At 36.8% G+C, this 12,392-nt stretch overlaps 1 protein-coding gene across 29 annotated transcripts in view, besides 1 other annotated feature; it reads right to left on the reverse strand.

Moving 5' to 3' along the window:
• WDFY3 (WD repeat and FYVE domain containing 3) overlaps positions 1-12,392 on the reverse strand; it is a 297,094-nt gene that overhangs the window by 248,220 nt on the left and 36,482 nt on the right. The window lies entirely within an intron of this gene.
• Positions 9,591-10,105: an enhancer, noted in NCBI's record as "OCT4-NANOG hESC enhancer chr4:85848560-85849074 (GRCh37/hg19 assembly coordinates)". NCBI's record gives its function as "activates a minimal SCP1, AML or CMV promoter by ChIP-STARR-seq in naive H9 embryonic stem cells {active_cell/tissue: H9 hESC(naive)}" and the evidence as "EXISTENCE:reporter gene assay evidence [ECO:0000049][PMID:30033119]".

Here is a 12,392-nt window from a genome sequence, read left to right on the forward strand (position 1 = left end):
GATAAAGAAATAATATTCCCAACATTCAAAGAGCTTAGTAATAATTTAAAAAGACCAAAACTCCTAGAGAAAAATGAAAGAAGATATAGACAGACATCTCCCCCTATATATATGGCTCTGATAGATGGGAAAGGATGTTAAACCTCACTCATAATAAGAAAAATGCACATTCTAACTATACCAAAATACCATTTCTTTGCCCTTCAGATTGGCAAAAATTCAAAAGCTTGACAATAGACTCACTTGGTAAGGCTGTGGGAAAACAGGCACTCTCATACATTGCTGATGGGAATGCAAAACAGTACAAACCCTATGGAAGGGAATTTGGTAACATCTAGCAAAACTACATAGGCATTTACCACTTCGACCTAGTAATTCCACTCCTACATTTATCCTGAAGATACACCTCCAGCAGTATGAAAAGACACAAGGTTATTAATTGCAGAACTGTATAACTATAAAATGCTAGAAACTATCTGGATACACAAACATAGAAAAGAAGATGAATGAACTGGTGTACATACACACAAAAGAATGATGACGACCTCTATGAACTGATATGGAATAATTTCCAGGGTATATTTTCCAGTGAAAACAGTTAAGTGCCAAAGTGCTTACACAGACAATATGCTATCTTTTGTGTTGGAAAAAAGGAGAAATAAGAAAACACACATATCTACTAATCATTATAAAAGGAAACATTGGAAAGATAAACCAAAAAACAATAAGGTTGGTTATCTAGCAGGGTAGCATGTTGTTTTTGTTTTTAGTGATATACGTGAAACAATTCTGAAACCATTTTAGATGGTACTCGTTTAGACCAAATGAGTAAAATGTTGGCACTGTTGGGAGCCCATGTTCTCATTATAGAAAAAGGGAGAATTGGAGGTATCAATGTAAATTCTTATTTTGAAAAAAAAAATACCCATATTCACATATGTATATCCATGTTATATGGGCATATACATGCAAACACATGCGCATATTTGTGTGTGTGTGTATATATATATAGATATATATATACACACACACACATATATATATATACACACACACATGTGTACATTTTCTAGTTTGTTCCCTGATAGGGCCCAGAAGCAAAGATATCCAGCAATAACATATATACCAAAGCATCCAGATCTTGGTTTCTAATACTATTACCCAATAAGAAGGACTAAGGCTCCTAGGAGAAATGACTGACTCCAGTGCTGGGCAATAAATGCACAAGATGAAACTTATTATAAAGAGTGAAACTAATGACTTGCTTAAAAAAATGATGGGAACATGTAAAAGGATACAAGAGCCAGCATGAAGAAGATGCCACTGGTGAGGACTGGAACAATTTTAGCTCCAAAATATTTAACAGTAGTGAAATGTTAAGCATTAAGGGAAAAATAGGAAACCATAAATTCAAATCAACAATAAATAAAACAATACATATAGATAAATAGAAGGGCTCCTATTACAGTAGAATGCTGAGTAATGACTGGTAAATGCAGAGAGAGTAAATCATTATTTTGCAACTATAATAGTAAAGATTGATTCAAGCAAGTATCATCAATGGATGCTACATACAGGGGATGAAATGTTATGAGGAGCTGTATATTTTAACTGTCTTAAAGTGTCTCCCTCCCAGTAGACCCTTTATTAGTTGCAAGGAACATGTAGTAATATGGTTTGGCTGTGTCCCTACCCAAATCTCATTTTGAATTGTAGTTCCCATAATCCCCACATGTCATGGGAGGGACCTGGTGGGAGGTAACTGAATCATAGGGGTGGTTACCTCCATGTTGTTCTCATGATAGTGAGTGAGTTCTCTAGAGATCTAATGGTTTTATAAGGGACTTTTTCTCTTTTGCTCGGCACTTCTCTCTCCTGCCTCCAAGTGAAGAAAGGTGTGTTTGCTTCCCCTTCCACCATGATTGTAAGTTTCCTGAGGCCTCCCAGCCATGTGGAACTGTGAGTCAATTAAACTTCTTTCCTTTATAAATCACCCAGTCTCAGGTATTTCTTCATTGCAGCGTGAGAATGAACTAATACACATAGTAACTATATAGTGGAAAAATCAGACAATGAAATGGTCAAAATTTCCATCACAAATGAACGGCAGAACAGTCAGTACCTATAGATATGATATGCTCAGAAAGATATATTCCTTATGTAATATTCCATCCAGGAATGTATAACCTAAAATCTTATCAACAGAAACATCAAACAAATAAAAAATAAGGAACAAAAAATAAGAAAACGAACAAAAAATAACTTCTGAAAAGGGAGAGAAAGGATGACTGTGTACTTTTAAAATGTCATATAATAAAAGATAAAGGTTGAAGAATTATTCTAGATTAAGGGTACTAAAAAGACATCAAATATAAACGCAAGATATGATCATTGACTAATTCCTACACTGGAGGAGAAGAAAACTGCCATAGAAGGCACTTATTCAGATAACAAAATTAGAAAACGGAAGATTAAAGTAATGTAAGAATGTTAAGTCTACTTAAGTTTTTAGACTGCTAATATAAGAGATGATCCTTATTCTTAGAAATCTACACAAAAACATTTAGGACTAAAGGGCCATAATATGTTCAATGTAACTCTCAAATGGCTAAATGAAAAGAATAAATGTATGCATGCATGTATGTTTACAAATATATACATATAAACATGCACAAAGTGAGAAAGAGTAATAAAGCATTTGGGACAAATGGCTAACAATAGATGAATCTGGATAAAGGGCAACTGGATGCTCTTTATATTATTTTTGCAACTTTTATGCAAGTTTGAAATTATTTCCAAAAAAATCATTATATTCAGGAACTAACACATTATTTTTCTCCCTAAAATCTGTTCCTTCTTTTATAATTCCTACACAGCTGAACAGCACCAGTGCCAACTAGTCATCCCACTAGAAACTTGACAGTTAACCTAGATTACTCAATAGTTTCATCATTTCCTTCCGGTTCTATAACTCCCACAACCCAAAGGAGAATTTCCTAAGGGAATATCATTAATATGACCTTTTTTTTCCTCCAATCATACCAAATTGGTGTAGGACCTAATCACTTAGCATTTCTCGTCTGATTTACTGCTACAATCTACTACTGATCACCGTTCCTCCAGTCTTGGCCCTAAATCATTCTACACACTGCTACAGAGTGAATTCCCCCAATGAAATTTGAATATGTCACTCCCTGTATTTCTTAATTTGTCCTAAATATAGGTAGGAAAGAACTTAATGGATTAACTTGAAAAAAACCCAACACTAATAAAATATATTATTTTGGATCTTCAGAAGCAAATAAGCAAAAATTACTGCCCAGAGATTTAAAAAGCTGGTATAACATAATTGATATAGTCATAAAACAACTGCAAGAGCCTTCTCGGACCCAATCTTAAAGCAACTGCTATTAAGCAATATGTTCAGTGCCTTTTATACAAATAACATAAGAACCCTGGAAGAAGGAAAGGTAATTAAAAGCATAGAAGGGAAAAGAAATTTAAGGAAAAGAAGGGAAGGAAAATAAATGGGAAAGTAGAAAATTGAAAAGAAGGGAAGGAAAAAGTTAAAAAGGTAAGGGAAAAGAAGAAAACTCTATTAGTAAAACAGAGATTTGTCTAGTGTTAAAATGTTAGCATTTTAAGAATTAACTAACCCTCTCTCAATTATTCCTAATGAAATAGCAAGCATAATCAGAGAAAAGTATTTTTATATGTCTTTATCAATATCTGACATTTTATCAAATGTTACTTGAGGACAGTATTATTCATAATCAATATATATTCTATTATTTATAAGCAAATATGGAACCAAGTCTCTATTGCTTTCATTTTTTTTTTTTTTTTTTTTTTTTTTTTTGAGACGGAGTCTCACTCTGTCGCCCAGGCTGGAGTGCTGTGACACAATCCCAGCTCACTGCAACCTCCACCTCCTGGGTTCAAGCAATTCTCTGCCTCAGCCTCCCTAGTAGCTGTGATTACAGGCACCTGCCACCACGCCCGGCTAATTTTTACATTTTTAGCAGAGACAAGGTTTCACCATCTTAGCCAGGTTGGTCTTCAACTCCTGACCTCGTGATCCACCTGCCTTGGCCTCCCAAAGTGCTGGGATCACAGACATGAGCCACCGCACCTGGCCTGCTTTCATTTTTAGATTTTCAATTTCTCAGTTCAAGGCATCAATATATAACTATACATTTATTGTATATAAAAATATACACATATATAGCATATATGTATAATATACATAAAGTTACACAATATATATCTGTATCCGGATTCTAGTATTCTACTTGAGCACCTACACCTGTAGATTTTAGCTATCAGTATAAGGTTTTAAGTAACTTTTATGTTGAATGTCAAGTTGCACAATAACAACAACTAGATTTTATAAATATAAACATTTATTGATATTTTACACTGAGAATATAAAATACAACAGATAGCCAAATATACATTAAAGAGTCTTCTCAGGACAAAAAGCTTGCTTCTTATATTTCTTTTCCAGTTTACAGAAGGAAAAGAAAACAAACTAAACAGAGGCAATAAACATGTCACACTACGGCCTCCTCTCCCCACAAAAAGTTGTTTTAATCATCACATTAATTTAGTCTTTTTATAACAAATAACACTTGTTCTTTAAACTTTAATTTATTAAATTGTAAGTGTGAGTAGTTGTGTGTCAGGACAGGCAGAGTAAAGGATCAAAGATCAATTCAGTCTATAGCTGGGCTCTTTTGTTGGATTTCTATAGGTCTAAGCATGTAAATATGGCCAACAGTACAGGAAGACATTTTTTTTTTTTAATCTTATTGCTTTTACCGAGGCAAAGTCTGTTTTGTTGTTTTTGCTGCTGTTTTTTGAGACAGGGTCTCGCTCTTCTGCTCAGCCTGGAGTGCAGTGGCACCATCAAAGCTCCCTGCAACCTCAGCCTCTTTGACTCAAGGGATCCTCCTGCCTCAGCCTTCTGAGTAATTGAGACTACAGGTGTGCACCACCATGCCAGTGATCCCCCTGCCTCAGTCTCCTAAAGTGCTGGGATTATAAGCGGGAGCCACCACACCCAGCCAAGGAATCCCATATGCAACAGAGTTATTTAATTTACTCTTTGTATATTGCTTAAAGCATTAAATGATAGCTAAAAATCGAAGTGTTTGGCCTATCTTCTATTCAGCTGGGACACATGCTGTGAGATCTTTGAACTTAGAAAAGCAGTTAGCCTGTCTCTTTAGGTTTGCAAATAATGAGGACAAAATCATCATAGTCTTTTGGGGTAAATGAGTTAAGAATATGACACCCCAAAATGCCATTCTGGCATATTGACTATTTAAGTTAAAGGCACTTAAAAAAACAGCAGGTACAAGAAGATCATTCTGACCATGCTGTTTCTTAAAAGTAGGAGATGAAATTCCCATGTGAAAGATGCCCTTCCTATACTACAAAGAAAACAGCATTCTTATCATCAAGAATAAAAAGATGAGGCCAAAGGAAATCTGGACAAACAATTGTTACACAAATTCTTAACATCCCAACCACTTCTCTGCCCACTTGACTACCCTAGCCCAAGCCCCCCCACCTTATTACATTTTTTGCAAGTTACTGCTTTTTGTCCAATTCAGTATATAAGTGTTTGTCTCTCACTGCTTCTTTGGGTCTTCATTTCTTTATAGGGTTCCTATGCCACATAAAGCTTTTATTAAATAAATGTGTATGCTTTTCTCCTGTTAATGGCAATTTAATTCTTGGGCCCAACTATTACCCTAAGAGGACAGAGGTGAAATTTTGCCTCTCCTACAGGGGAAGAGATTCTTAATAATGTTCATATCAATCTCTAATGCTAATAAACATTCTTAGTAGCTGGTTCTATACACCATGCCCCAAGCATGAAAATAAAACTTTCAGGCCAGATATGATGGCTCATGCCTGTAATCCCAGCACTTTGGGAGGCTGAGGCAGGTGGATCACCTGAGGTCAGGAGTTCAAAACTAGCCTGGCCAACATGGTGAAAACCCTTCTCTACTAAAAATACAAAAATTAGCCAGTTGTGGTAGTGTGCACCCATAGTACCAGCTATTCGGGGAGGCTGAGGTGGGAGAATCGATAGAGCCCAGGAGGTCAAGGCTGCAAATAGCCATGATTGTGAGTTATATATTATTTTCCCTAATGCCAAACTGCAAAAACTGTAATCAGCTTATTTTTTTGTTAATAGAAACATTTATATAAATAAATTCCTACAAGCTACATTAATGGGGGAAGCACTCAGGCTATAAATACACACATTCACATAGGCAACAGTGATTTAGGGCACAGCCCTAAGAGATTAAAGGAATCTTTTTTCTATACAAAAAAAATAATTGCAATGTTTTAATACCTAACAATTAGATCTATTTTCTTAAAAAGCAGATTTCTGAAAAGTTATTTTCTAGCGTTTACAATATTTCTTAGGATACTATCATTGCAGAGGTTTCTACAATGTAAAATGAATAGAAATACATACACGGCTTTATATCCATATTCTATTTCCTAGGCATTGGCTAATTTTTCTGTGTAGGACTTTATTCTTTACAAAGGCATTTCACATTTAGTTGACCATTTAACTTGATCCTCACAATAACCCTGTGTGAAGAAAGCTAACATATGCCAAGTACCTACCATATGCCAGGCTCCACTCAGCGTTTTACATGAACTATCTCTTTAATCCTAACAACAATCACATGAAGTAGATACTATCAATTCCATTTTTACAAAACAGAACATTGAGAATAAGAGAAGTTAAGTAGCCCAAGGTCACATGCTAGAAACCAGAAAAACCAGGCTTTAGAAACAGGTCTGTCTGCCTTATACTCAATCCTCTGCTCTTTCACCTACACATTGTTGTTCCATCATCATAAAGGAGTAAACATTCAGAGGAAAAGGTATACTTGAACAAGGCTGCTTAGCTAGTATGTGGTATGAACATCATTTAAAACTAAAATCCTCTGCTTCTAAAACTTTTCCTACTATAGTACCTTCCAACTACAGAACCTACACAATCATTATAAAGCATAAAGATATAGCCAAAGTGTAAGATCATGGCTCCAAATTTGCCCTTGAAAATTTGCAAGAACCAGTACAATATACTATTACATGTATACTTCCATGAAAAACCTCATACCTACAAAAGGTTTAATGCTCACAATCTCCTTTGCTTTTCCAGTAGCAGTTAAGCTCAGAAGAGAAAATCTAAAGGTGTTTCTTCATTCATTCAGCTACTTAGCTAGCACAGAATGGACATCTAACCCTCTAGGTGCTGAGGACTGTGATTTCCAAGTCTCTTCCCTCTTTATTAAGTAACTCACCTAGCATCATGCCTCAGTGCCATAAGCATTTCCTTTAACCTCTTTCTTTTCCTATTATTTTTCCAATTTCTACTCTATTAGCCTCAAAGAAACCTCTCTTAATTGTTCTCATTTGTTAACTTCAACCAAGTAATAACTACTTCTAGTCACTATCTAATGCCCTGGGAAGTTTTTTAAAAAAAATCTCATGTGGCTTGCTGCTCCCATGGCAGGAATACTTTCTGACTTCACTAGGCAGACCCAGGAAGAAACAAATGGACAATGTGGATTTTTACAAGAAAGTTGGTCTGGACTCTTCAAAAAGTCAGTATTATTAAAAAAGAAAGGAAGAGAGAAAGAAAAAGAGAGGAAGAGTGAAAGAGAAACAGGATAAGGGAAACTAATCTAGATTTTTTAAAGAATAAACAGCACATAAGCAAATGCAATATGTGGACCTTAACTAGATTGTTGTTTGAAAAAAGCTATAAAGGAAGTTTTGAGGACAACTGGAGAATTAAGATATGGACTGAATTTAACACAGTATTATTGTTCTTTTTTACATATGGTAATTAATACAGTGGTCATGTAAACAACGTCCTTTATTTCTAGGAGATGCATATTAAAGTATGAAGTTTTTAAGAGTGAAATGTCATAAGGTCTGAAATTACTTTCAAATGGTCCAGCAGTGCCACACCCCTCTCTAAAATGTACATATTCCACAAGAATATATGTGGCAAAATGTTGGTAATTATTGAATCAAGGTTGAAGGTGTTTGGATGTTCACTGTATTATTCATTAAACATTTTTGCATGTTTAAATTTTTCAAAATATAAAACTGGGTTTAAAAAGGTAAGGGAGAGACTAAACCATTGGGCAGTCTATACTTGTTTTCAGATTTCTTTGAAATGGAGTCTCTCTCTGTCGCCCAGGCTGGAGTATAGCGTGATGTCGGCTCACTACAACCTCTGCCTCCCGGGTTCAAGCAATTCTTGAACCCGGGAGGCAGAGCTTTCAGTGAGCCAAGATCGCGCCACCGCACTCCAGCCTGGGCGACAGAGTGAGACTCCGTCTCTAAAAGAAAAAAAAAAAAAAAATCAATGTGATGTGGCCATACAAACATCAGGCTCTATTTAATAAATCAAAAGTCTATAGAAAAAGGAAAAAAGTTTCACAACAGAAGATAAAGTGGTGATTAAAAAGATTAGTGTTTCTAAGACTGAAATTTTAAGTATCACTTCTTCAAATGAAAGAAAATTGAATTAGATTTTAAAATCCCAAAACTCTATTTAGTAATACAATTTTATTTTGCTACGTATTTTTTTCTGATTATAAAAACTTTTTATACTTTGTAATTTAAACTTCACATCAAGTATCTTTACTCATTTACATTTTCCTGAGTTCCCTTCCAGCTTTTTAAACTCTCTCAACACATGTTTTCTTTCTAATACATTTGACACAGACTTTCATTTCTGGGTGATGTTTTTCTAAATCATAAAATTTGCAACATTATTTTCCTCAAATAGTCTAAAGCCTAAAATCTAGTCATAAATCTATGCAGTTCCAGAAGTTTTCGTAATAAAAAGGAGGTATATTATAAAACAGAACTTTCAGCTCAGTATCCTGGTAACAGCATCCTAAGAGCATAAGCTTAAACCTTCCCCTTTGCCATAATCAATTCAACAGACCTTCCCCTCTGCCATAATCAATTCAACAGAGTTTTTTCTAAGAAAAAAATTATCAATTGTTCAAAGATAAGAATGCCTTCCCCAGTCCACTACAGGCATACCAAAAGAAAGTCTTAAATTTTTGTATGATTTCTGCTAACCCTGCTAACAAGTAAAAAGGAATACCACGTAGAAATCCTATTAAATTATGTTTACTTAATTTCTGTATACTATGACTTAAACGTCCAAATCTAGTGAGAGTTAAAAATGTCTCAACATTTCTAACAATGAGGTGTTTGTTTACTATTAAATGTATTCTATTTACAGTAATTCACAAATAATAATTAAACAACTACTTATAAAAATAAACCACTTGTAAAATCACGTAAAAATCATGTCATCATATGCTTAAGAAGTCATGCTCCATCTAACCTAATGAAGTTTTTAAAAACAACCTTTTCTCCATGAACTTGAGATATTCTTAGACTAAATTTACTAAAGAAATGTTATTCCATATGTTACACACACACACACAGACACACACACACCTTATAGATTAACTCATACAGATAATGCCAACTAGGTCAAATTTCACTTCCAGAAACACAACTATACAGCCTTCCATAAGAAGAATTACAGAAAGAACCCATAAAATAAGTTTCCAAATATGATGGTGGTTGATTTGGAGTATCAACATGACTGGATTAAGGGATACCCAGTGAAATGGTTTGGCTTTGTGTCCCCACCCAAATTTCACCTTGAATTGTAATCCCCATAATCCCCATGTGTCAAGGGCGGGGCCAGGTGGAGGTAATTGGATCATGGCGGAGGTTTCCCCCATGCTGTTGTTGTGATAATGAGTGAGTCTCAGGGGATCTGATGGTTTTATAAGTGTCTGGCATTTCCTCTGCTGGCATTCATTCTCTCTCCTGCTGCCCTGTGAAGATGTGCCTTCAGCCATGATTGTAAGTTTCCTGAGGCCTCCCCAGCCATGTGGAACTGTGAATTAATTAAAGCTCTTTTCTTTATAAATTACCCAGTCTCAGGTATTTTCTCATAGCAATGTGAGAATGGACTAATATACCCAGATAGCTGGTAAAGCAGTAATTATTCTCAATGCTTCAGCAGGCATTGAGCTCATCCCATTTCTGCTGAAAGACAAAACCAGGTGGTATGGAATTTGTTTAGAATGATTGGGGTGTCCCAGGTGTGTCTGTGAAGGTGTTTCCAAAGGAGATTGACATTTCAGTCAGTGGACTGAGTAAGGAAGATCTGCCCTCAATATGAGTGGGCACTGTCAAATCAGCTGGGGACCCAGATGGAACAAAAAAGCAGAAGAAGGGTGAACTTGCCCTCTTTTCTGAAGCCAGGATGCCCTTCATCGTCTGTCCCTGAACATCAGAGCTCTTTGTTCTCTAGCCTTTGGATTCTGGGACTAGCATCAACCCCTCTCCCTCCTCCGTGCTTGACTCTCGAGCCCTCGGCCTTGGACTGAGAGTTACAGCATTGGCTTCCTTGGTTCTGAGGCCTTTGGACTTGGACTGAGTCATGCTACCAGCTTCCCTGGTTCTCCAGCTTCCAGACAGCCTATGGTGAGACTTCTCAGTCTCCATAATTGACTAAGCCAATTCCCCTAATAAATTCTTTCTCATATATATCACTATCTAAATATATATTCAATCGATAGCCTGTCTCTCGGGTAACCCTGACTAAAACACTATGGATTTTTCCATCAGTGTAAATGGTAAGAACTGCTAGCTGGATGATATGGTATATATGATTGTACCACTACATTCTGTAAAAGTAACTGTAATTGAGCAGTACCCTTGGCCAGTTTGGTGTATTAAATATCCTCACATATGGCAGCTAATTCCTAATACTTTATAATACCTTAGTTGTTGAAAATGACCACAAACAAGTTGATAAAATTAAGGTAATCTTAATAACCTCAGACCTCTTACTCTTAAATTTTTTTAGGGAAATGAGATTAGACCTCTGCATATTTTATGAGAAATATCATGTTAATAACGTAGCGAAGTGAAAAGTCACACGCCACTTGAATAAGTCTACACAGGACCAAAACATATCTCATTTTATACATACTAGTACAGCCTCAAAAGTGGCTCCCAATGACCCTACCTCCTGGTATTCACACCCTTGTGTAATCCCCTCTCCTTGAATGTGGGCTGGACCTAGTGAATCACTCCTAATAAACAGAATATGGAAAAAGTGAATGCATGCCACTTTCGAGACTATATTACAAAAACACTGGGCCTTTCATCTTGCTCACCGTCTCTTGTTAGCTTGCACTAATGGAAGTTGATGCCATGTTGTGACCTGCCCTACAGTAAAGGCTCAAGTGGCAAGGAACTGAAATTAGCTTCTCAAAAACAGCCCACTAAGGAACTGGGTCCCTTAGTTCAACAATCAGTGAAGAACTAAATGCTGCCAATAATCACATCATTGAATTGGAAGCAGATCCTCCCCCAGGACCTTCAGATGACACCACAGGCCTAGCAGATATGTTAGGTGCAGCTTTGTGAGAGATCCTGAGCCAGAGGACTCAGTTAAGCTGCACTCAGATTCCCGATCAACAAAAACAGATAATGTTTGCAGTTTTAATCTGAGAAGTTTTGGGGTAATTTGTTATGTAGGGCAATAGATTGAATTGCGCCCCCCCCCCCAAATTCATACGTTGAAATCCATACCGTCAGTACCTCAAAATGTGACCTTTGAAGCTAGGGTCTTTAAAGAGGTAATCAAGTTAAAATGAGGCCATCAGGGTGGGCTCTAATCCAGTATGACTGGGGTCCTTAGAAATCTGGACACAGGACCGGGCGTGGTGGCTCACGCCTATAATCCCAGCACTTTGGGAGGCCAAGGCGGGTGGATCACCTGAGGTCAGGAGTTCGAGAACAGCCTGGCCAACATGGCAAAACCCTGTCTCTACTGAAAATACAAAAAATTAGCTGGATGTGGTGATGCACACCTGTAATCCCAGCTACTTGGGAGGCTGAGGCACGAGAATCGCTTGAACCCAGGAGGCGGAGGTTACAGTCAGTCAAGGTCGCACCACTGCACTCCAGCCTGGGCAACAAGAGAGAAACTTCGCTTAAAAAAAAAAAAAATCTAGACACAAGAGACATGCATAGAAGGAAGACCGTGCAAAGAGACACAGGGAAAAGATGGCCACCTAAAAGCCAAGAAAACAGGACTGGAACAAATCCTTCCCTCACAGGCCTCAGGAGCCAACCCTGCAACACTGGCGTCAGACTTCCAGCATACAGACTGTGAGACCATAAATTCCTGTCATTTAAGCCACCCACTTCTTAGTACTTTGTTACAGCAGCCCTCACAAACTAATATATGTGGCAATAGATAACACACATATACTTAATTCAAAATAACTTCT

Source organism: Homo sapiens, chromosome 4 (genome assembly GCF_000001405.40).
Source record: "Homo sapiens chromosome 4, GRCh38.p14 Primary Assembly".
Taxonomy (NCBI): Eukaryota; Metazoa; Chordata; class Mammalia; order Primates; family Hominidae; genus Homo; species Homo sapiens.